General features: G+C 38.6%; 1 long non-coding RNA gene and 1 other non-coding gene across 2 annotated transcripts in view; one reads left to right on the top strand and one right to left on the bottom strand.

Moving 5' to 3' along the window:
• The window catches only part of LINC00578 (long intergenic non-protein coding RNA 578), a 310,784-nt gene that overhangs the window by 111,945 nt on the left and 171,893 nt on the right, over positions 1-26,946 (bottom strand). Inside the window, exon 3 of the long non-coding RNA NR_047568.1 lies at positions 11,205-11,343. This is a non-coding gene — a long non-coding RNA (long intergenic non-protein coding RNA 578). The remainder of the gene's footprint in view (positions 1-11,204; positions 11,344-26,946) is intronic.
• On the top strand, positions 16,351-16,478 carry LOC124900562 (small nucleolar RNA SNORA18). The gene has a single exon (XR_007096311.1). It is a non-coding gene; the product is annotated as a small nucleolar RNA SNORA18 (small nucleolar RNA).

The following is a 26,946-nucleotide window of genomic DNA, read 5'->3' as shown; positions in this document are numbered from 1 at the left end:
CCACAGCAGCAACAGGAAGACCCACCCAAAAAGAGGCTGAGCTCAGACATGCCTATCCCTGCCCCACCTGGTGGTCTTTCTCTACAGGCCCTCATAGCTGAAGACAAAGGACATAATCTCTTGGGAGCTCTATGGCCCTGCCCACCACCTGAGAAACACAAATACTTAACCAGGTGTCCCTAGAGCAAGTTTGCATCCTCCCTATACAGCTGCAGCTGATGCACTCTTGATAGCACCACCTCCTGGCTGGAGGCCAAACCAACACAAAACTAGCACACTAAACAATAGTACAACAAAGGACCCTCCCAGAGTCCACTTCACTCCTCTGCTACCTCCAGTGGAGCAGGTGCTGGTATCCACGGCTGACAGAGCTGAAGACAGATCACATCACAGGACTCTGCGGACACTCCCCAGTACCAGCTCAGAGACTGGTAGCTCTGCTGGGTGGCCAGACCCAGAAAAGTGAAACAATTGCTGCAGTTCGGCTCTCAAGAAGCCCCATTCCGTGGGACAAAAGAATCTGAACAGCAGCCCTTGAGTCCCAGATCTTCCCTCTGACATAGTCTACCCAAATGAGAAGGAACCAGAAAAACAATTCAGGTAATATGACAAAACAAGTTTCTTTAACACCCCCAAAAATCACACCAGCTTACCAACAAAGGATCCAAACCAAGATGAAACCTCTGAATTGCCAGAAAAAGAATTCAAAAGGTCGATTATTAAGCTAATCAAGGAGGCACCAGAGAAAGGTGAAGTCCAACTTAAAGAAATCAAAAACATGATACAGGATGTGAAAGAAAAAGTCTTCAGTGAAATAGATAGTATAAATTAAAAAACCCCACAACTTCTGGAAATCAAGGACACACTTAGAGAAATGCAAAATGCACTGGAAAGTCTCAGCAATGGAATCAAAAAACCAGAAAAAAGAACTTCAAAGCTTGAAGACAAGGCTCTCAAATTAACCCAGTCTGTCAAAGACAAATTAAAAAGACTTTCAAAAAATGAGCAAAGCCTCCAAGAAGTTTGGGATTATGTTAAATGACCAAACCTAAGAATAATTGATGTTCCCAAAGAAGAAGAGAAATCCAAAAATTTGGAAAACATATTTGAGGGAATAATCAAGGAAAACTTCCCCGGCCTTGCTAGAAATCTAGACATCCAAATACAAGAAGCCCAAAGAACACCTGGGAAATTTATTGCAAAAAGATCATCACCCAGGCACGTAGTCATCAGGTTATCTAAAGTCAAGCTGAAGGAAAGTATCAAGTTGTAGGATGAAAGCATCAGGTAACCTGTAAAGGAAAACCTATCAGATTAATAGCAGATTTCTCAGCAGAAACCCTACAAACTAGAAGGAATTGGGGTCCTATTTTTAGCCCGCTTAAACAAAATAATTTTCAGCCAAGGATTTTGTATCCAGCAAAACTAAGTTTCATAAATGAAGGAAAGACACAGTCTTTTCCAGAAAAACAAATGCTGAGAGAATTTGCTACTACCAAGCCAGCCCTACAAGAACTGCTAAAAGGAGCTCTAAATCTTGAAACAGATCCTCAAATACACCAAAATAGAACCTCCTTAAAGCATAAATTTTATAGGACCTATATAACAATAACACAATGAAAAAGCAACAAGGTATTCAGGCAACAAATAACACGATAAATAGAATAGTACCTCACATCCCAGTACTAAACGTTGAATGTAAGTGGCCTAAATGCTCCACTTAAAAGATACAGAACGGCAGAATGGATAAGGATTCACCAACCAAGTTTCTGCTGTCTTCAGAAGACTCACCTAACACCTAAAGATTCACATAAACTTAAGGTAAAGGGGTGTAAAAAGATATGCCATGCAAATGGACACCAAGAGCAAGCGGGAGTAGTTAGTTTCACATCAGACAAAACAAACTTTAAAGCAACAGCAGTTAAAAAAGACAAAGAGGGACATTATATAATGATAAAAGGACTAGTCCAACAGAAAAATATCACATTCTTAAATATATATGCCTCTATATATATACAACTGGAGCTCCCAAATTTATAAAACAATCACTATTATACCTAAGGAATGAAATAGACAGCAACACAGTAAAAGCAGGAGACTTCAATACTCCACTGACAGCACTAGACAGGTCATCAAAAGAAGGTCAACAAAGAAACAATGGACTCCTAGCCTGGCCAACATGGTGAAACCCCATGTCTACTAAAAATACAAAAATTAGCCAGGCATGGTGGAGCATGCTTGTGGTCCCAGCTACTCAGGAGACTGACACAGAATTGCTTGAACCCAGGAGGCGGAGGTTGCAGTGAGCCAAGATTGCACCACTGTGCTCCAGCCTGGGTGACAGGGCAAGAGTCTGTCTCAAAAAAAAAAAAGACTCAAACTATAACCTAGAACAAATGTACTTCACAGATATTTACAGAACATCCTATCCATCGACTGCAGAATATACATTCCATTCATCAGCACATGGAACAGTCTCCAAGGTAGACCATATGATAGGCCACAAAACAAGTTTCAGTCAATTTAAGAAAATCGAAATTATATCAAGTACTTTCTCAGACCACAGTGGAATAAAATTAGAAATCAACTCCAAAAGGAACCCTCAAAACCATGCAATTATGTGGAAATTAAAGAACCTGCTCCTGAATGATCATTGGGTCAACAATGAAACCAAGATGGAAATTTAAAAATTCTTTGAGCTGAATGATAATAGTGACACAACCTATCAAAACCTCTGGGATACAGCAAAAGTAGTGCTAAGAGGAAAGTTCATACCATTAAATGCCTACATCAAAAAGCCTGAGAGAGCACAAATAGACAATCTAAGGTCACACCTCACAGAACTGGAGAAACAAGAACAATCCAAACCCAAACCAGCAGAATAAAGGAAATAACGAAGATCACAGCAGAACTAAATGAAATTGAAACAAACACACAAAAAAAGACAAAAGGTAAATTAAACAAAAACCTAGTTTTTTAAAAAGATAAATAAAATTGATAGACCATTTGCGAGATTAACCAAGAAGAGAAAAAGATCCAAATAAGCTAAATTAGAAATGAAACAGGAGATATCACAACTAATAGCACAGAAATACACGATTCAAGGCTACTATGAACACCTATAAGTGCCTAAACTAGAAAACCTAGAGAAGATGGATAAATTCCTGGAAATATACAATCTTCCTAGATTAAACTAGGAAAATATAGAAACTGAACAGGCCAATAACAAGCAGCAAGATTGAAATTGTAATAAAAAAAAATTGCCAACAAAAAAAGTCCAGGACCAGATGGAGTCACAGCTGAATTCTATCAGATATTTAAAAAATTGGTATGAATCCTATTGACACTATTCCAAAAGATAGAGAAAGAGGGAATCCCCCCTAAATCATCTATGAAGCCAGCATCATCCTAATACCAAAACCAGGGAAGGATATAACAAAAAAAAAGAAAATACAGACCAATATTCCTGATGAACATAGATGCAAAAATCCTCAACAAAATACTAGCAAACTGAATCCAACAGCATATCAAAAAGATAATCCAACATGATCAAATGGATTTCGTACCAGGATTGCAGGGATGCTTTAATATATGTAAGTCAATAAATGTGATATACCATATAAACACAATTAAAAACAAAAATCACATGATCATCTCAATAGATGCAGAAAAAGCATCTGACAGAATCCAGCATTCCTTTATGAGTAAAACCCTCAGCAAAATTGGCATAGAAGGGACATACCTTAAGGTGATAAAAGCCATTTATGACAGACCCACAACCAACATTATACTAAACAGGGAAAAGTTGAAAGCATTCCCCCTGAGAACTGAAACAAGACAAGGATGCCCATTTTCATCACCTCTATTCAACATAGTACTGGAATTCCTAGCCAGACCAATCAGACAAGAGAAAGAAATAAAGGACATCCAAATCAGTAAAGAGGAAGTCAAACTGTCACTGTTTGCTGATGATATGGTCCTATACCTAGAAAACCCTAAAGGCTCCTCCAAAAAACTCCTAGAACTGATAAATGAAATCAGCAAAGTTTCAGAATACAAAATTAATGTGCACAAATCAGTAGCTCTCCTATACACCAACAGCAACCATGATGAGAATCAAATCAAGAACTCAACCCCTTTTACAATAGCTGCAAAAAATAAAATACTTAGGAGGTGAAAGACACCTACAAGGAAAACTACAAAACGCCACCAAAAGAAATCATAGATGACACGAACAAATGGAAATATATCTCATGCTCATGGATAGGTAGAATCAATATTGTGAAAATGACCACACTGCCAAAAGCAATCTACAAATTCAATGCAATTTTCATTAAAATACCACCATCATTCTTCACAGAACTAGAGAAAAAAAAAATCCTAAAATTCATAGGGAACCAAAAAAGAGCCCACATAGCCAAAGCAAGACTAAGCAAAAAGAACAAATCTGGAGGCATCACATTACCTGACTTCAAACTACACTACAATGCCATAGTCACCAAAACAGCATGGTACTGGTATAAAAACAGGCACATAAGCCAATGGAACAGAATAGAGAACCCAGAAATAAAGCAAAATACTCACAGCCAACTGATCTTTGACAAAGCAAACAAAAACATAAAAGTGGGGAAAGGATACCATATTCAACAAATGGTGCTGAGATAATTGGCAAGCCACATGTAGAAGAATGAAACTGGATCTTCGTCTCTGACCTTATTCAAAAGTCAATTCAAGATGGATCAGAGATTTAAATCTAAGACCTGAAACTATAAAAATTCTAGAAGATAACATCAGAAAAACCCTTCCAGACATTGGCTTAGGCAAAGACTTCATAACCAAGAACCCAAAAGCAAATGCAACAAAAACAAAGACAAATAGATGGAACTTAATTAAACTAAAAAGCTTCTGCACAGCAAAAGAAATAATCAGCAGAGTAAACAGACAACCTACGCATGACAGAAAATCTTCACAATCTGAATATATAACAAAGGATTAATGTCCAGAATCTACAAAGAACTCAAACAAATCAGCAAGAACGAAACAAACAATCCTATTAAAAAGTGGGTTAAGGACATGAATAGACAATTCTCAAAAGAAGATACACAAGTGGCCAATAAACATATGAAAAAATACTCAGCATCACTAATTATCAGGGAAATGCAAATCAAAACCACAATCCGATACCACCTTACTCCTCTAAGAATGTCCATAATTTAAAAATCAAAAAATAATAGATGTTCATATGGATGTGGTGGAAAGGCAACACTTTTACACTGTTGGTAGGAATGTAAACTACTACAGCCTCTATGGAAAACAGTACAGAGATTCCTTAGAGAGCTAAAAGTACATCTGCCATTTGATCCAGCAATCCCACTACTGCGTATCTACCCAGAGGAAAAGAAGTCATGAAATGAAAAAGATATTTGCATATGCATGTTTATAGCAGCACAATTTACAATTGCAAAGACATAGAACCAGCCCAAACGCCCATCAATCAATGAGTGGATAAAGAAAATGTCATATACATATACGTATACATATACATATACATATACATATACATATACATATACATATACATATACATATACATACCATGGAATACTATTCAGCCATAAAAAGGAACAAAATAAGGGCATTCACAGCAACCTGGATTATTATCCTAAGTGAATTAACTCTGGAATGGAGAACCAAACATCGTATGTTCTCGCTCATAAATGAGAGCTAAGCTATAAAGATGCAAAGGCATAAAAATGATACATCGGACTTTGGGGATTCAGGGGAAATGGTGGGAGGGGGCGAGGGATAAAGATTACACATTGGGTACAGGGTACACTGCTCAGGTGATGGGTGCACCAAAATCTGAGAAATCACCACTAAAGAACTTATTCATGTAACCAACCACCACCTGCTCCCAGAAAAACCTATTGAAATACAAAATACATTTTAAAAAAGAATAAAATCTAAGTGCTGTTAAAACCCAAAGGAGGGAGTCAAAAATTCCACCTGAAGGATAAAGAAAGCTTTCACAGAATTGATGATTTTTGAACTTAGCCTTGAAGAACTGGTTTGGAGATGGACTCTAGGTAGGCAGTGGAGGAATCATTACTGGTGGTGGTAAAAGGGCTGGAGCAAAAGTTCAGAGGTGTTCTTCTTTATGAAAGAAGTAAAATCAGAAAGTAAAAGAAAGCTGCCTGGACTAATATCTTATCTCCTCTTTCTTCCCATTTTACTTGTCCTGAATCTATTACTCTTATTACCTGTCTGAGGCACATATCTCTATTCCATGATCTATTCCAGCAGGAGAAGCCCAAACTTTATACAGTCTGTCTAATTCCATGTTCCTTCTTCACCTGGCAAATAGTAAAATCATGTACAGTCCTGCACCACCTAACAATGTTTCAGACAATGATGGACCACATATATGATGGTGGTCCCATAAGATTATAAGACCGTATTTTTACTGTAACTTTTCTATAGATAGAATGTTTAGATACACAAATACCTACCATTGTGTTACAACTGCCTACAGTATTCAGTACAGTCACATGCTGTACAGGTTTGTAGCCTAGGAGCAATGGACTACACCACAGAGCCTTGGTGTGGAGCGGGCTACACTGTCTAAGAATGTATAAGTACACTATGATGCTCGCACAATGATGAAATTGCCTAACAATGCATTTCTCAGAACCTTTTCCCATCATTAAGCAACACATAGCTATATTTAGTTATTTCAGCTGAAGTGTTAAAATTTATAATATCTAATGCTTTACCCCTTCCATCGAGTTTTCCCCAGTCTGATCTCTGCCAAATTAATCTTTTCCGGGTTTGTGTCCCACAGTACTTTGAAGCTTTCTTGTAACACTTAACCACATACTATCCTTACTCATAATGTTTTGACCCTTGTTTGTCTCCCCTACCAGGGATAACTTTCCTTTGGCAGCAGAGACATATTCATAGTTAACTGTTTATATTTAACTGAAATGAATCAACCTTTTCACAAACAGAATATTTTGTGGGAAAGTAGAGAAGAATGCGAACATTTGTTTTTATTAATAAGTGATGACATGATGAAAATATTGGCTTCAGAAGCTGACTGTTTCACTAGCTTTGTACTATCCACATTTTCAGTAGGCTCTGGGTTTTTTGTTTTTGTTGTCTTTTTCCATTTTCAGAGATATGTCTTGATACAATGGCAGGGTTTACAACACCAAGTGTAAAACCTGCTCAAAAGGCTGGGCTACACTTTATAAAACCTTCTGATTCTTAAATGCATTTTATTTTTGGCAAAAACTGATAGAAGTTGTTGTTTTTAAAAACCCAGAAGCTTCTTTAGATATCAGGTCATCTTTACTATTCAACATTGCAATGATTTAAGTGCAAATAAACTTAGATCGTATGGATTAATTTTCCTTTTAAAATGCATGAGGGTTTGAACTGTTATGGTCCTATATTATTGTACTTTGACTTTGTCATTGAAAACAATGTAGACAGACATAAAGATGTTAATGTGTTCTAGGCAAAATAAGATTTACGTAGCCTTATCTATTTTTCAATTTTTGGTAACATAATTAGATGACTATTAAATTCATTTATTTATCCAATAAACCTGTATCAAATGCCTTACATAAAGCTTCATTATATGTTACAGCTCAGCCTTCTTCTCTCCTAACTAGAAAGGATGAATTAATCTTTCTTCTTAGCATCCATTTTCATCTCTTAAAATGTCGTTAATTCTTTTTTTTTTTTTTTGAGACGGAGTTTCACTCTTGTCATCCAGGCTGGAGTGCAGTGGCGTGATCTCGGCTCACTGCAACCGCTGCCTCCCGGGTTCACACCATTCTTCTGCCTCAGCCTCTCGAGTAGCTGGGATTACATTTGTATTTTTAGTAGAGACGGGGTGTCGCCATGTTAGCCAGACTGGTCTCAAACTCCTGACCTCAGGTGATCCACCCGCCTCAGACTCCCAAAGTGCTGGGATTACAGGTGTGAGCCACCGCGCCCGGCCTCTTAATTCTTAATCACAGTCTTCATCTTTAAATTTCATAGCAAAAGATTTATTGCAGAAGAGTGACCTAATTCCTCTTTTCCATCAAAATCATTTTATGAAACCAGGAACTTTCTCAGGATCTATGAAGTATCCCAGAAATCTATGGTCCCCAAATTGAGAAAACAACCTTAGAAATGACTGGCATGTATTACAAATGTAGGGGGGAAAGTAAAGCTATAAATCCCTGTTTCAGCAAAGATACACAAATTCAGGCAATCTCACTCATGGTTGGTGGCAGTTATAATTGATTAATTTCTTTGGAAAGAGACAGTGGATATTAAGAACTATAAAAATGTCAATATAGGCGTATGTTCTCTTTCTCAGATGCAAAATTAACCTGTAAAAATTTTATAAAGATCACTGAAGTCAGATTTTTACCATGGCGGGCCCTGGTAGAGCCCTGGCTCTTCCCCCTAGACAACAGAATATTTCATTGAACTGTTAACAGTATAATTATTTGGGATGTAGAGATGATAAAGGATAAAGCTGCTCAAATATTATTAGTAGTAGTATTGATTATTTACATGTAGCCTCATTCTCGAAAGAATTTCAAGCTGCTTTCAGAGATACATAAAGCATAAAAGTAAAGAAAGAAATCAGGATTAATGAAAGATGATAATGGGAAAGTAAGATGAAGCCAAAACCAAGTTGAGGACAACATAGTAGAGCCTTAAATTTGGAATTAAGCTTCTTACCAGCTAAACAAAAAGAAAAGGCATTCACAATGTCTGAGAGAAGCAATTTACTTACTGGAAGAACTGTAGACTTGCCTGGCACTGAGTCCTGAGAGAAATTTGCACATGATCTTACTAGGAATGAGGAGACTGGACTATACCGCATAGGCACCTGCTCTGGCACTATCTACTCCAATCATTAAAAAGCAACAACAGGCTGGGTGCGGTGGCTCACGCCTGTAATCCCAGCACTTTGGGAGGCTGAGGCGGGTGGATCGTGAGGTCAATAGATCAAGACCATCCTGGCCAACATGATGAAACCCCATCTCTATTAAAAATACAAAAATTAGCTGAGTGTGGTGGCAGGCGCCTGTAGTCCCAGCTACTCGGGACTACAGTGACCTGAGATTGCACCACTGCACTCCAGCCTGGGCAACAGAGCGAGACTCTGCCTCAAAAAAAAAAAAGCAACAACAGCTCTGGGGCCCAGAAGCCTTGAGGGTGTGTCCATCTTCACATAGAAGCTAAGAGATGGTGAGTAATGTTTGAACTTCATGTTTGTTGGGAAAAAATATGTGCCTTGTTTTCTCTCTGCCTCTTTGTTATCCTAAAATTTCCATACCACTGAGTTAAAAAGAACCAGTATACTTTCTAGCCCAGACAACTTAGGCATCCCTTGGTGAGACCTTTTCATATTAAAGTTAAGAAGTTAAATTTAATAATTTATTCAAGGATTTCTTTTCTGACTTTAAATGGTAACTGGAAACAAAAGGCTAGCTTGAGAAAAAATTATAAAGGGATGGTGGAAGTAGCATTTAAGTAGAGATACTTCAAACCCACTCACATCGCTGGCACAAAAGTTCTTTGTTATCTACGTGATGTTCATCAGAAGATGAGCAATAATATTGGCTCTGCACCCATTATCTTAACTCCTTCTACATTAACCAAGCCGTGATTAAGAAACTGATGTCCAGTTTATGGTTCTGCTAAGTTAACCACAGAAGGAGGTAGAAAAGTAGATTGTTAGTATGTAATAAATGCTATAATTAGGCTATGATGAAAGGAATCTGGCAGTCTTTATCCTGAGAGAATATTTAAGTCTGGAAGGACATGGCATGGAGGTGTTCATCATCAGTGATGGGCTGTGAGGAGAGATGAGAACATTCTATAGATTTAGATGATCCCATGTGAAAGTAAGTACCAGCTCGGCCACTTTATTATTATTTATTTTATTATCATTATTATTATTATTTTTGAGATGGAGTTTCGCTCTTGTTGCCTAGGCTGGAATGCAGTGGCGCAGTCTCAGCTCATTGCAATCTCCGCCTCCCAGGTTCAAGTGATTCTCCTTCCTCAGCCTCCTGAGTAGCTGGAATTACAGGCGCTCAACCACACCCGGCTAATTTTTGTATTTTTAGTAGAGATGGGGTTTTGCCATATTGGCCAGGCTGGCCTTGAACTCCTGACCTCAAGTATCCACCCTCGGCCTCTCAAAGTGCTGATATTACAGGTGTGAGCCACCGTGCCCGGCCTCAGCCACTTTATATATGAGGTAACTAATTTAACTTACTCACATTTGTTTCCTCATCTGCAAATTGTGGGTAATAACACTTACTCAGTCGGTGCTTGTAAGAATGAAATAATCAAATATGGAAAACACCTAGGAATAAGTGCTTAACATGCTGTAAATGCTCAGTAAGTAGTAAAATCAAGGTTTCTAGAAGAGAATAAAATACAAATTACCTTCAATTGCAGTGAAAAAGACTTTGGTATGATTAAATGACAACTTCATAACTAAATGAGGAGAGGAGGGAATTATTGGTTCTGTCTGGTTAATTACCATTGTATACCAAGTACCTCCCACAATTCCTGGCCCACGGTAGCAGGTCAATAAATATTTTTCTTTTTACATTTCCATTCCTTTCACTTTGTTTCCCCTAGGATTAACATTATATATCACCCTAATACAATTATCGAAACCAGAAATCATATGTATTTTTGAGTGAATATTGAATATATTTTTAAATAATCAAAAATAGGGTAATTATCCTTATATCTGGGATTATTCTTTCAAGAAACACAAAACATAGGAATAAAAAGTCTCTGAGTCCGAATTTCAAAATTGCTTTTGAGAATAAGAAACAATCCTTTTCATTAAAGTGGGGGCTTTAATGCAGACCCAGTGAGGTGAACTGCACAACTACTGCACATAAAATGTAGGAGCCCAATATTTGATCCTTTTGATTCATCAGAGTTTTGGGCTCAAGAATCATGGTGAGAAAATGAACTTCAGCTTAGTGAGCAAACCAGGATTTACAACAACAAAATATATATGTGCAAATTATGTAAAGCATGAGTTATTCTTTCTATTGTGAACAAAGGACATTTTTCGTAGCATAAGTCTTTGTTATGAATATCTCTATATACTGCATAGACATTTTTCACACCCCCATCAATTTTGTGAAGAGACAGTGAGTTACCTAATTTGTGTCAAAAACAAGGAAAAGATGTGTCAACGACAGCATTTTTTTTCCCATTCCAGTGACAGGTTAGCACTCCAACTGTTGCTGATCTGTTGGAATTTCCTGTTTCCTCTTCCATGGAAATGTTTTCTCTTTTCTGTTGAAATAATAGATTGGAACCAGTGAGGCAGGCTAGGACATGACAACTCGGGACAACAAATGGCATCTGAAACAATTGTCCATGGTATACAATGAATGCAGTAAAATCCATCTATCTGGACTCAATAGAACCAGAGTTTTTCTTAGAGATTCACAATAATAACTAGAAGTTAAAATCATAAGACTTTGATCATGATATGAAACAAATTAACTGATGCCCAGTTTAGTTTTGGTGTTAAATGACATCTTTAAGACTTGTTTGACTGTGAATGAGATGAAGGGCAGCCTTCTGTCAACCAAAATAAACATTTCCAAACATTCTAGATCAATAGATGGTTCTTCTGTGTATCTTTTTTCTTCCCCCTCTTTGTTCCTCCTGCTCTCCCATTTGCTTTCCTTTCCTTCTCCGAGATTGCTTTCCTGTCATTGCTTCTTGCACCCCAGACACTCTGGAGGGACACCTTGATTGTCGCTGAAAACCCACCTAAACATTGGTTCACAGACAATGTGCTCAAGAGAAAAGAAGCAGTGGAGCTGTTCTCCATTTAGTGCAGTGTAGAGAACAAACATCGCCCTAGGGGAAAAAAAAAAATAGCTGGAGCTAGCCACCATTCTACCAGTAACTTTTCATGAAATTATGGGCAAAACGTTTAAAAGTCTTGAGGCATAAGTTGCTTTTACAGTTATAATCAGAAAGGACCCTCCCATCCCTCTGTTCTTTTTTGGCAGTGATCTTGGACTCCAAAAGCTGCTCTGTGGAGCCTGCAGTCAGTTGTGTCCATGATCAACCACTTTAGTCACCACCTGACTAACCACATGTTCCAGAAATGTACTCTTTATTCAAAGACTTCTTCAAAGAGTATCTAACAGTAACTCAGACACATGACATTTACTTGCTTTGAGTGACTCTTCAGTACTTCTTCTAATATGGTTTGGCTGTGTGCCCACCCAAATCTCATCTTGAATTGTAACTCCCACAATTCCCATGTGCCCTGGGAGGAACCTGGTGGGAAGTGATTGAATTATGGGGGCAGATCTTTCCTGTGCAGTTCTCATGATAGTGAATGAGTCTCATGAGATCTGATGGTTTTAAAAAGAGGAGATTCCCTGCACAAGCTCTCTTTTTGCCTGCCACCATCCATGTAAGATGTGACTTGCTCCTCCTTGCCTTCTGCCATGATTGTGAGGCCTCCCCAGCCACTTGGAACTGTAAGTCCATTAAACCTCTTTCTTTTGTAAATTGCCCAGTCTCAGTTATGTCTTTATCAGCAGCATGAATACAGACTAATACATCTCCCTTCTCAGAAAAAAAATAATAGTTAGAAACATTTTTTCTCTCAAAGACATTTTCTTATTTATATAAATTCTGTCTCTCAATCAAATCTGAGTGTCTTTAACATTCTGTAAGAAGATTTTTTTTTAATACACTTTACCCATTTGCAGTCCAATTATTAATTTGACAGAAAATCACTCAGGACAACAGAAATTGAGCCCCTAACACCCACCAAATATTTAAAAGTATATAATGTTACTATGTGAAGATACTCAACAAATATGGAACACAGTTTGTGATTTCGAAAACTTTATAACCTACATTGGGAAGATAATATTCATTGGATTTTAGAATAAGAAAGGATTATAAGTCCACTATTTTCTAGATGGATCAGGAAATAGTCCACCATCCCAAGAATAAAATAGAGGGCAGAAAAAGATGGTTTGACCACCACAAAATAAACTAAGTTCCCTTTCCTACTCTCCAATGATGTTATGCTGCACAGATGATCAGCAGAGGCGATTGTGGCAGATCCTAGCGCAGGTCTCATGTCGCTGGTCGTAGGCATCTAAAATAGGAAGGAGGAGTGCTGCAGAGAGGGCTCCTGCATGCCCTCCAGCATCGGAGGCATGTGAAGGCTGCAGGAAGGGGTGGAACAGGCACTTTGATGCAGAGGTGCCAAAGGGGTCTTAGATCAACACACTCAAGCAAGTACAGTGAGAGCTGTGGAACTGTGACTCCTGGACCACAAAGTGATCCATCCACAAGATGATTTGAGAGGTTTATATCATTTTGTCATTTGTCGTTTCTGTTTTTTCAGATATGACTGGCAGTTACTATGTGACATAGCCAAATCGATCCAAATGTATTATTAAGTAGCATTTTTGTTAATTAAACTTTTAATTTTAGCTTTGCTGAAATATGCTTGTGGTGTGCTTTTTATAGTCCTAGGAGTAGTGCAAAAGGAAAGCTCTGCCACCTGACAATTTCCCATGAAACTAATGATCTGTTGGTTGTACATGGATGCAAATGCCACAAGAGCTTTTACTGCTAGAGGAGTGGGAAATGGAAGAAAAGACCCAGAGATGAGAGAATACTAGAATGGGATGTAACATCATGGTACATATTTGAATTATTAAAAAGGATTGAAATACATTGCAGCTGAGCCGCAAGGATATCAGAGGCCAACACCTACAGAGAAAAATTCAATATTAAACAAGTGATGGCAGCTTTAAGTTCAATAGGCATTGAGAAGTCTCTTTGGGCAGGGAGGGAGCAGAACAGGCACTGATGAGGGTTAATATTCAGTGGAGGTAGAAAAGGCAATCCGCTATGATCCAAGACATTTTTTGCTCACCTGCTGGATGATATTTAAAATTTCTTTGACTTTAGTGTTTGGAATTTTGCTTCAATGCTTGATTAAGCATGTATTTGTGGGTTTCAATAGCCATTCTTTTTCTCCGTACCAGACAGACGGGAGTGAAGCAGTCCCATTCAGGAGGAGTACCACCAAACCAGTAACCAGAGACATTCATTAGGGTCTGCCTAGATTTGAACATGTTTGTAATTAATAACCTAGGATGGCTATTTTTATGTGTCAACTTGACTAGGCTATGATACCCAGATATTTCATCAAAAGCCAGTCTGGATGTTGCTGTGAACATATTTTTTAGATGAGATTAACATTTAAATCAGTAGACTTTGAATAAAGCAGATTGTTCTCCATAATGTGGGTGGGCCTTATCCAATTAGTTGAAGGCCTTAAGAGAAAAAAAAAAAGACTGCGATCTCCTAAGGAAGAGAAGAGTCTGTCTCCAGACTGCGTTCAGACTCAAACTACAATGTCAACTCCTCCCTGTGTCTCCAGCCTGCTGGCTTTCCCTGTAAATTTCAGACTTGCCAGCACCCACAATCATGTGAGCCAATTCTTACTTTAAAATCTCTCTCTCTCTCTACAGACACACACACACATACACACACACACACACACACACACACACACACATCCTATTTGTTCTGTTGATCTGGAAAACCCTGACTAATACATATCCCCTAAAACCCCTTAGGGTTTAGATCCAGAACTTGAAATAAAAAGAAATTTATTTGAGTGATGAGAACACATGGACACACAGCGGGGAACAACACACACTGGGGCCTACCGGAGGGTGGAGGGTGGGAGCAGGGAGAGGATCAGGAAAAATAACTGATGGATACTAGGCTTAATACCTGGGTGATGAAATAATCTACACAACAAACCCCCATGGCACATGTTTACCTATGGAAAAAACCTGCACATCCTGCACATGTACCCCTGAACTTAAAATCAAAGTTAAAAAAAAAAGACACTTATTTGAGTATAATAAACTCAGAGATTCTGAGTAAATAATAACATTTTGTTAAACAATTTAAATTAAACCTAAATAACTGATTAGAGGAACACTAAAAATTTTTGAACTAAGTTTTGAATATGGGATCCCAGCAACCCAATCTTATGATCGGGATTCATGATTATTCTCTTTCCTTTTTACCTTTTTGTTTTATGGTCTATTGTCTTGTAAGTTTCTGAACTAAAACTGGTAGTCAGCTTTTGTGGAGGTTTTGCTATCTCTCCAGAAATTCCTTATGCACTCCCTCTGCATTCTGTCTCTTTCCCGACTATTCTTTTCTTAGAAAGGAGTATGTTGTAGTGAAAAGATCAAGGTCTTTGAAGTAAAAACAAAAAATGTTCATTTGAATCCTGGATCTGAAGAAAACACCGGCTGTGGAAACTTGTCCAAGTCATTTAACCTCTCTAAGCCCCAGTTTCCTCATCCCTCAAGATCCTCACAAAGAGAGTACTCAGATTAAATAAGGTAACAAATGTTCAGACCCTAGTGTTTATACAGGAAGGTACTGACTTCCATGTGAGGTGACTGAAGCCTAGTGAACAAGCTTCTTGGTTTCTTTACTTAAAAAGTCCCTGATCGTAAAAATATCAACAAACATGTAATTTAGAAAGCAGAGGACATCTCTGCTATCCTTGGCAGCTGCAAAGAAAGTCAGTCAAAAGGAATATATTATTTCGATGTAGTCTAACTTCTATAACAAACAACTCCCCAGTTGCAGCAGCTTGACATAGTGAAACTGTTATTTCTTGCTCATGTCACAGCGCAGTGTGGGAGGATGGAGGGACTCTGTTCCACATTCATTCATGAACCCAGGCACCTTCAATCTTGTGGCTCCACCCTCATATTGGCCCTTAAAGTTCTTTCAAGGTAGCTAATGAGAAAAAAGGCAGAAAAGAGAACGTGATGACCACACAAAGGAAGCGTATGTAGGTTATTTCTGCAAGTGGCACGTGTTGCTCCAGCTCATATCCAATTGGCCAGAATGCCACTGCATAGCCTTACCTGGAACACGTGGTGTCTCCCTGTGCCCAGGGAGACAAAAACAACAATGTTGGTGAACTTGGGCATACATTCATCTCAAGAGCCATAAAGGCCTGTTAGATTAGATTTGTTTGTTCTTAACTGTTTACTCGCCGTTACTCATGCATATCCTTTGATCTGTGTTCAGGCCTTTGATTTTATGTAAATGCCTAGGCGTACACATTTTCCTATAAGCCGAACTTAATAATGAGAAAAGAGGTAGACCAGAAGTCTCTTAGTGTCTAAAGTAGAAACAAAAAGATAGCTGTTAAGACAGAAGATGAAAAATAGAGAGGCTCAGAGTGCAAAAGGAAATGATACATTTTTTGAGGTCTTTCCCGATGGGACTTTTCTGTAGGCTGCACATCATTGGAAACGCCTCATAGAGTTAACTCTGTGGTTTTACTTTACTCACAGGACTCTTGTTAGATCTGTGGGAACTACAAGACAGTTGCTACAAGTATGAAAAAGACTGTTACTAAATATATGAAAGACCTGATAATTTACTTTTTTACCTTATGTATTGGCATATTCCACACTCTGCACTATTCTTGAGTGTGATCGCTTAGGAATGAATATGATTTGAACTCACTCAGGTTTAGAGAGGGTGTCACATTGAGAACTAGGCAGATCCACCTACACTAAAAATGACCCTAAAGTAAATTGGTTGAAGAAATTAGATCTTAAAGATTCTTGATTTTTCCAAAGGTAAATTTTGAAATCTTCATCAGTATAGCCATATTAAAAGGAGATGACGACAGATGCCAAAAATCAAAGAATTATGGCCTGACAGGACAACTGCATTAAAATAAGCATCAGTTTCATTAAAAAGGGCTAACTTGAAGATAAATCTTTTGAAGATAAATTTTGACTCCAGCTCTTTAGAGGATCTAAAGTGACCTCGATGGACAGTGGAAGAACTTACAACATGGAATTCCTTGAATAAAAATCTATTGACTTTAAATAATTTTGCCTAATGTTACACACACACAGTTAAAACGAAAACACCTCTTTACACTGTCAAAAAAAGAAGAAGAAAATGATAGATTTTCACATTGCCCCATTGATGCCATTAAAAATCTATATAATCACTAGAGTCAAGTATTAGAAATGCTATCTTCTGTGGCCGCGTTCTCTTTCAAGGCCTATTAGTCCCTAAATTATCTCCCTGGGCACATGGCAACACTACATGTTCCAGGTAAGGCTATGTGTTGAGAAACAGTAGTGCTGGCTAAAGCCTCACAGTGAAATTAACATCCAGTGAAATTAATCTATTTGCAGGCTGCAAATGCCTATAGCAGTTGATGACTGTGATGAAAAGTGCTTTCACTTTCATGGACTATTTCAAACTTCCAAGAGAAGTTAAGGTGGAAACAAACATGAGCCAGACTCCCTAGTTCCCCATCTCTTTTCCTTTCTTCTGGGTCTTATCCACATTCTGTACCCTGAAAAAGCCCAGATCTTCTCCTGTACCTGCCCTATGTGCTGTCTCCAACCATCCTTAAAGCAAGGCCTCTGCCAAACACACAGAGTGAGGAGCCACCTATATGGCATGATGTTTGTCTTGACATGAGTGGAGACCACAGAGGCTTCCCCACACTCCCTTTGCAGATCTATCAGCGTTCTCCTGTACAACTACAGTGCCAGGACACTCCAGTTTTAGCTGCGCGTTGGTGTAGGGCATTGAAGGCCTCATAAAAATTACAGCTATCTGACAGCACTGATAGTCAAAGCCACTATCTATTAAGTGGTTACTATATGCTAGTGACTTTATATATGCTAGGTTATTAATCCCACCACAACCCTAGCAGTATTATTACTTCCACTGAAAACTGAGTTTTAGTGAGGTTAAGCAAACAACCCAAGGCAGCATAGCTAATAAAAGACAGAGCCAGGATTTAAACCTAATTCCATCTGACTCCTCCTACATGAAACAATTATAGCAAACATTTGTTGAAAGCTTACTACATGCCAATCATTGTTCTGAGCTCCTTACTTGTGTTAACTCATTTTTTCCCACAACAATTCTAGGAAGCAAACACTGCTATTGCCACCTTTTTGCAGAGGAAGGTACTGAGGTGAAGCGACTTGCCCAAACCCTACAAAAAGTAAGTGGTTAGAGCTGGGACTGCAATCCAGAGCTCTCTGTATTGAGACCAATCCACTCTTTTTTTTTTTTTTTTCATTCTTATATGTTTTAATTGTAAAATTTTCAAAAATTCCTACTTCCATGTCATCACCTAGATTTAACGACTATTGACATTTTGCTATATTTGCTTCAGTTTTTGTTGAAATACTTTAAAATAAGTTAACATGTCATAGTATTTTACTCCTTAATACTTCAGCGTGCATCTCTAAAGATGGATTTTTTTTACATAATCACAATAGCATTATCACACCTGATAAAATATATTACCAATTCCCTAATACCATATTCAAAATTCTGTAATTGTTCCAAAAGTATCTTTTCTACAGTTGGTTTGTTCAAACTAGTATCCTGCGAAAAATCATGAATAACATTTGCTAATTATATAATTCTAAAACACCTCCTTCCTACTCCCTTTTTGTACCATGACATTAATTGCTAAGGAATCAAGATCAGTCTATAGAATGATCTGCCTTCTGGATTTGTTTATTTCCTTGTGGTGCTGATTAAGTTTTTCCTCTAGTTTCTGTGTTTCTTATGAAGTGGAAACTTTAACTAAAGGCTTGAGTAGATTCACTTTCAGCAAGAATGCTTCATAGATGATATTGCAACTTCATATTGTACCACATTTGGATCTTCACAGTAACTGGCCATTGCATCAACAGCAGTGTCAAGAGCATCATAGCATCGGATGATGATGGACAGATGCCTCTGCTGCAGAGTTATGCCCCCGCCCCAACACTCAATTGGCAATCATCTGGGGAAGTCTGTCACAATGGTCCCTGTCCACCTTTCTTTTAGTGGTTTCAGCATCTGTCAAAGGTTCTTATTTGAATTTCCATCCTATCAAGGGCTGCAAAATGGTGACTTTCTGACCGTATTATTGCATCTACATTCACAGCTGACATTCTTCAATAAAGAAAAGTTTTCCTTCATCAAGTAGAACTATTTAGTTATGCTGAAATTCAGTATCTTCTAGAAAGACATTAAATCTTTAATTATTTTTAATTCTCAATTCTCAGAATAACCAATTCATGTAATAATCACCTCCAGTGATGGCAAATGAGTTTTGTTTTGGAAGACATTCTCTTTTCTAGTTATGTACTTGCGGAGTTTTATATATTCATAGTCATTTTTAAATGCTCAGGTTGTCTCACACTTGCCACTGTATACTCTTCAACTAGAATGCTACTTAACCCAGATTAAAATCCACGTTTCCCGTGTAGTAACTGAGTGACTCTTGCTTCTGTGCCTCTGTCTCTCAGAAATAAAACTGGAATTCAAAATTCTATAGAGCTTATAAGATGGTTGTAGTAATTAAATGAGACAGGTCAGCTACCAGGCTTAGCGAAGGCCATAAACAAAGAAAGAATGTGACAAATGTTAGTTGCTCCTATTTTCATATCATCACCATCTAATGCTAAGTCTTCACTAGGGAAGGAATTAGGGTCTGGAGATGCGGTGGTAAAGGGAAGAGCAAGGGTCTCAAATGCTTTAGAGAGAAGATTCTCACCCAGAACAGTGACACATGAGGGCTTTGCAGGGCCAGGAACAGGTAAAGAAACTAGGAACCTGGTGAAGGGAAGAAGGCAGGAGGCAGAATAAAATATTCCTGGAAAAAAATTATTTTTGTTTGTTTCACAGTTTTCTCAGGGCCTATTCTATTCCAAGATATCGAAAAGAATGCTGGTGAAACTAGAGCTAAGTGGCTGTCTCAGAACCTACCAGAGTAGAGAGGTCAGGTCATTTCTAGGCTTCAGGTGGCTTGTCCACCTGTCCTGCCAGCCCAGTCTCAGTTTGGGCATTAGCTGATGGGCTAAGCTGCTTGTTTCATGCTGGTCTGTAAGAAGAGCTTACAAGTGGGAAGACAAGTTCAGCATCATCTTCAAATGACAATGGTCATATGAAATACTAAAGATAGTTTCCTGTAAAAACCTCCCACAGAAACGAAAAGTTTTTAAATAAAACATGTCATCCAAAATTGTAAAGTGAGAAAGATTGTTTTCATCTCATGTCTTTGAATTGTATTGTGAGAGGTATTGGTCTTCTTCCACCAATCCAAAGTTAAGGACAAATAAATTTCATTGTATCGGAAACTTTGGAGGAAAAATTTGATGCTATTATTTTCCTTCCATGGAAATTTTATTCTGGGGATATATTTCCGTAGCAAATGCATAGTAGTTGCCAAAGAAACAAGTTAATAGTAGGCTTGATAAGAGGGATTTCTTAAAATGAAGAGCCGTTTTATCCTCCCCACCATGTCTTTCCCTTTCAGAATACTTGCTGACTCACCCCAGCCTCCCAGAACATAAACGACGGTGTTATAGCCACGAAATCCTACAAAAACCACTTCACTTCCGAGCATGTACACACATATATGTGTGCGTGGAATGTGCGCATGTGTGTTTAGGGGGTGGAAGTAAGGGCTTTCCTTCTTTCTCTTTTTATTCTCTTTTTTTTTTTTCAGACAGAGTCTTACTCTATTGCCCATGCTGGAGTGCAATGGCGCTATCTCCGCTCACTGCAACCTCCGCCTCCCGGGTTCAAGCGATTCTCCTGCCTCAGCCTCCCAAGTAGCTGGGATTACAGGCACCCACCACCATGCCCGGCTAATTTTTGTATTTTTAGTAGAGACGGGGTTTCACCATGTTAGCCAGGCTGGTCTCAAACTCCTGACCTCGCTATCTGCCCGCCTCAGCCTCTCAAAGTGCTGGGATTACAGGTGTGAGCCACTGGGCCTGGCCTATCTTTTTATTCCTTAATAAAAAATGTTTGTTTCCTCACAACTTGACAGGAACTGGCTCTGAGATTTACAGAAATAACTGAAGGGATATCGCTCATGCAAATTATCCTGCTTCTTCATTAGCTGTGGTGCTCACAACAGCCAAAGCTCTCCGTCCTCCCTCTTTTTAGGTCATGTTAGGCTTTCCTTTATAATCATATTCAGTGGACTAGCATGCCTCAGTAGAATGTTGAGTGACTTGAAAAATACTTGGCTACCAGACAAGAAAGTAAAACAAAAGCTACGTGTGTAACGTTTAACAAAGGAACATTCAGAATCTTCCCTCTGGGAGAAACAAAGCAGCAAAGAACACCCTCGTCCTCCTCTCCCAAATAAAAACTGGGAGAAAACATCCTGGAAAATAAATGCCAACACCAGAAGCCAGTTACTAGGAAGAAACATGATGAAGTTTTAAACCATTTACTCTCATTTTGTTCTTTTAAACCAAGGCCACTAATAACCTCAGAAATGTCGACTGATTATCTTCTTTCTGCTTGGTTGGTATATCTGTACCAAAATGTTCAGATGGAAGGTAAACAAAGGCCTAGCAGCTCAGATTTTTTAAAATTTGAACTGGAACTCATTTATTTGTATTTCAAAATTCCGAGGCAGATTACCTGGAAGACATCCAAAACCTCAGAAGCCAAAAGTTCTGCCAAGCATTTTTCAGCTTGGTAATCGGTAATATAATACAGCCAGATCATTAAAGAAATCCTGTTCTGAATTCCCTTGAAGTTTCTAAGGCAAAGTTTAAACAAAAATTATTTCCTTCAGAGTCTCCTATGCATGATAAGTTTCCATCTGTGCATAAGGAAACAGCATAGTAGATTAGACACCTTGACTAAGAACAAATAAACACAACAAAAATAAACGTACATTGCATTTCTCTCTAGACCTGCATGGCTGTGTATTCACAAAGCAAAACATTGTATATCTTTCGTCTCTTAGGAAGAAGTTGTTTATTACTCCTTTGCTTTGTCATGGCCATCTTGCTCATTTACTTTTCAATAATCACATATTGAAAACCCACTCTGAAGAAGGTGCTGTGCCAGACACCATGTAAAGAGACAAAGATGTAGATACACAGACTCTGCGCATGTGGGGCATAATATATAGTGGTGGGGAGGAGGAGAAGATATATACAGATAGGTATTAAACCAGGTGGAAGGTGTTGGGAAAAAGTACCTTAGGAAAGGCAAGATGAGATGCTCTGGATGTCCGGAGAAAGGTATGTTAATTAGAATGAAGAGGTCAGGAGAGATTTCAGGAAGGAGGTGGAATGAGAGCTGCATCATGAAAGGAAGGTGGGATGTGGACAAAGTGGAGAAGGTCTTAGAGTACCATGGTGCTTCATCAAGTGCCTTGTTGCCTAAAGTGTTCTGCTTCTTTCCAACCTGTGTCACGTGTAAGTCCATTTATACACTTAAACCAAAACTGAGTACATGAGAACATATATTTCTCACCCACACATTAAAATCAAGTTGAGGCCGGGTGCAGTGGCTCATACCTGTAATCCCAGCACTTTGGGAGGACAAGGTGGGCAGATCACTTGAGGTCAGGAGTTCAAGAGCAGCCTGGCCAACATGGTGAAACCCCATCTCTATTAAAAATACAAAAATTAGCAGGGAGTGGTGGCAGGTGCCTGTAATCCCAACTACTCAGGAGGATGAGGCAGGAGGATCACTTGAACCTAGGAGGCGGAGGTTGCAGTGAGATCGTGCCACTGCACTCCAGCCTGGGCAATAGAGCGACGCTCTGTCACTAAATAAATAAATAAATAAATGAAACGAAGTTGAATATTATCTCACAGTTCTATACAATCACAGTTTGCTTTTTATGCTGCTATTTATTTTTTCCATCTAAGTTGTCTTAGTGCACCATCTCCTTAAATTAACTACCAGAAAACAGGTGAAACCCATGAAACCTAGTGTTTTAGTGGAGCCATCCACTACTCAAGACCAATGTGGGAACCGCAGTCTGAATTATTTGACCTCATCAATAAGCACATTCCCACTTTGCCTATGAAGGGTGCTTATAGTAAAGAATCATCTCTTAGCCACTGTTCCACTGTGTCAATCTATGGAAAAATCAAAACGCACTTACTGAATTCATTTAAGTAAGCATTCACTGGGAAATTCCTACCCCAAAGACACTGTGTCAATTCGGAGGACTCAGGATGGCTCCCTGCAGGCATCTCACAGGCTGGAGGTGGAACTCACACCCACCTGTAATGCAGTGTATGATAATAGAGCTGTACACACAGATCCTTGGAAGCACAATACACAAGTACATCTAATGCCCACATTAAACTTTTAAAATGAAGCTGGTTTTCATTTGCATATGTAAATTCATATTCCTATTATTTGGGCTTCTAGTTGTAAGATAAGCTGAAAATGTTCTTCAGACTTTTTTGGTATTAGCTTTAGAACCTATTTATATATGAAGCACATGCAAAATATTAGTATTATTTTTTAAGCCATTTGCCAATATTGAAAAAATAACTGGTTTCATTTACTAAACTTGAATGTGAATGATATTTCACTTTGTCCAACATTCAAATATACTTTCACATCCAAAGATTTGCCACAATTGAGAATACTGAAAAATGTGCCACATATTTTGAAAGTAATTTTAAAACATATACATTGGAAAAGCATTTAGAAATGTTTGTGACAGTGGAATCATTTCAATGTACTTTCCTACCTCCTTTGTTATCTTTGTCCATTTTGTGTTGGTATAACAGAATACCACAGACTGGGTAATTTATAAAGAAAAGAAATTAGGCCCGGCGCGGAGCCTCACTCCTGTAATCCCAGCACTTTGGAAGGCCAAGGCGGGTGGATCGCCTGAGGTCAGGGGTTTGAGATCAGCCTGGCGAACATGGTGAAACCCTGTCTTTACTAAAAATACAAAAATTAGCTGGGCATGGTTGCGGGCGCCTGTAATCCCAGCTATTTGGGAGGCTGAGGCAGGAGAATTGTTTGAACCCAGGAGGTGGAGGTTGCAGTGAGCTGAGATCGGGCCACTGCACTCCAGCTTGGGCGACAGAGGAAGGATCCATCTCAAAAAAAAAAAGAAAAGAAAAGAAAAGAAATGTATTTCTCATAGAGTGCATGTGACAGAGAGGGAGAAAGAGCAAGACAGTGATGCAGCAGAACTTGCTTTTACGACAAACCCACTCTCGCAATAACTAATCCACTCCTGCAATAACAATATTAAGCCATTCATGAGGATAGAGCCCTCCTGACCTAATTACCTCCTGTGAGGCCCCACCTTCCAAGACTGTTGCATTGAGATTACATTTCCAACACATGAACTTTTGGGGGACACGTTCAAACCGTAGCATTTGTCTAGCAACTTCCTAATGTTCACAACTCAGATCCTGCCTCCTAGATTTCCCTCTGCACTCCCATGCTATTTTTTGAAACCTATAATTCCATCGCTAAAACCAAGTCAAAGACAACCATACCTTTGTTTCCTCATCTGCAGGAGGTGATAACCGATAGTATTCATAGAGGCAAAATAAATTAATGCCATGTAAGAACAGCATGTAAACCATAGTATCATAAAAGTATTCACTATCATTATTCAAGTAATTTTCACATAGTAGGTCACCAATATCGGATCATTGAATAAAACATATACCTTGTTCAATAGATATATCAGAATTTATACATCCAAAGGTTTGTTAGCCTCTTTCATAAAATGAGCTACAATCTCACTTCATAAGTTAAAAATAAACATTCATTGAATCTAAGCTACAGCTTTATGCATTGAAAACATTACCAACTTATTTACATAGCACATTAAAATTTTACAAAGCACATTTACAGGGAGAGAATTAATTTAATTTTCTTCCACACTATGTGATACAGCTCTAGTGCCAATCATAAATGACAAACCCTTAATACATTTGCCCATCTGGGCTCCTCTTTCCAAAGTACCTAAGTATCTAGTGAGGTGCAGTGGCTCATGCCTATAAATCCCAACATTTTGGGAGACCGAGGCAGAAGGATCATTTGAGCCCAGTAGTTCAAGACCAGCCTGGGCAACATAGGGAGACTCCCATCTCTACAAAAAATTAAAAAATTAGCCAGGCATGGTAGCACATGCTTGTGCTTCCAGCTACTCGGGAAGCTGAGGTAGGAGGATTGCTTGAGCCCAAGAGGCCAGGAGGTTGAGGCTGCAATGAGCCATGATCATGCCACTGCACTCAGTTTAGGAAACAGAGAGAGACCTTGTCTAAAAAAAAAAAAAAAACAAAAACAAAAACAAAAAAAACAGTTCTAAGTTGTAGTTGAAATCTGCAGTAACTGTTTAATCAATGAGCTTCTAATGGTCTTTTTATTATGATTATCAAATGTCTATGCAAACATTTCTTCCTCTGAACTTCACCCTCCTGAAAAGGGGCAACTGTGAATGACTATTCCCTTTCTATACCAGTTCCAATAGCACAGTGGAGAGGGGAGGGAAAAATAAACACACACATTTCTAACTTTCCAGCCTACTGACTGGTCTGCCCTTTCCCCTGGCCAACATCCTCAAAAATATGATAATGAAGTGGTTTGTGTGATTGTGAAAGAGTGTGTGCGTTTCCCTGGGCTGGAGCCAAGGGAGAGAAAGAAGGTATCCAAACACAGCTGCAGTTACCTCTCCCCGCTCAGTCATTTCAGGGAAATGGACTCAGCATATCTGGAAGGAGGTCAACTGGGGGACAAAATAAAAGGCTCTCTTGGTTGGTTGGTTCTGCACAGATCCTGAAAGCAGGCTTCAGGCCTATACTATAACAATCCCTCTGACTTTGGCAATAAAATGAAGGAGAAACATCACAGAAAATACCAAAGGAAGAACCAGTCAAATCCCATTATCACAAACTCCCAGAAATTTGTTTAATTATTTTAATATTTTCAATATAGCTGACTGGAGTGAACATTAGTTAACATGAGTAAGTGATAAATTGGATCTAAATTGTCATTTGTATCTATAGAGATGTTGCTATAAAGAAGTATGTCCAAGTTAGATTTTCACCTAGGCAGGTTGGGAAAAAAAAGATGAAAAAATATGTGCATTCTAACTATTTTCTACAAACTATATACATAGTAGATTATTCCATTGTTGACACTTCTGAATCATATGGCCATGGAAATTAAGGGGATCCCTTAATTGAACCCCTCAATTGAAAGAGGAGCAAACTAAAGCACAGAGTACATTGTCCATATAAACAACCACTTAGGGCTGCCATCTTCAATGGGAAGGTCTCTCTCAAGTTATAGACTGAAATCTAAGTCTGGCCCAGCATTCACTGGGCACCTTATTTTCTACCTACATTTTCATAAGATGTATCACAAACTTCAGCAATTATTTGTTGTGTACTATCTGCTATATATTTATGCAAGTTAACATTGAAATAATAAAATGAGAAGCCATTAGACAGGAACCCTGGGTTCCTACCTAAGGAAACTAAAACCTAGCTCAGCCTCATTTCATGCAAGAGGCTAATTTAAAAGAAATGAAACTTAAGCTCAACCAATCACATAGCCAACTGGGCATTGATTATTGTCTTGAACTTCCCACCAAGATAGTCCAAATAGGGCAATTTTCCAAACTTCAACCAATCAAATAATTTCTTTGCTCTGCTTTCTCATTCACCCTGTAAAAGCTTTTCCATCAACCACCTCTGCTGAAGCCCTGAACCACTTCCAGTCTAGAGCTGTCCAATTCATGAATTGCTGTCTGCCCAAATAAACTCTTTAAAGGTTTAATCTGCTAAAGTTTCTCTTTTAACATTAATCTTCTATTTAACATTACTATAAACTCCTTGAAGGCTACCACTATGGCAAAATGATTCTGAATCCTCCTGCTCCTGACACCTCCTGGGAACAGTGCTGAAAATCCAACATTGACTAAACCCCTTTCATTGGCAAATAGGCCCAGAGGGGCCAAGATGAGGGAGACAGACTCAAAAAAGCTCTTGTCCTCCTAAAGTTTAAAAT

This window comes from Homo sapiens, chromosome 3 (assembly GCF_000001405.40).
Source record: "Homo sapiens chromosome 3, GRCh38.p14 Primary Assembly".
NCBI classification, from domain to species: domain Eukaryota; kingdom Metazoa; phylum Chordata; class Mammalia; order Primates; family Hominidae; genus Homo; species Homo sapiens.
This window is presented reverse-complemented; position numbering and strand designations above follow the sequence as displayed.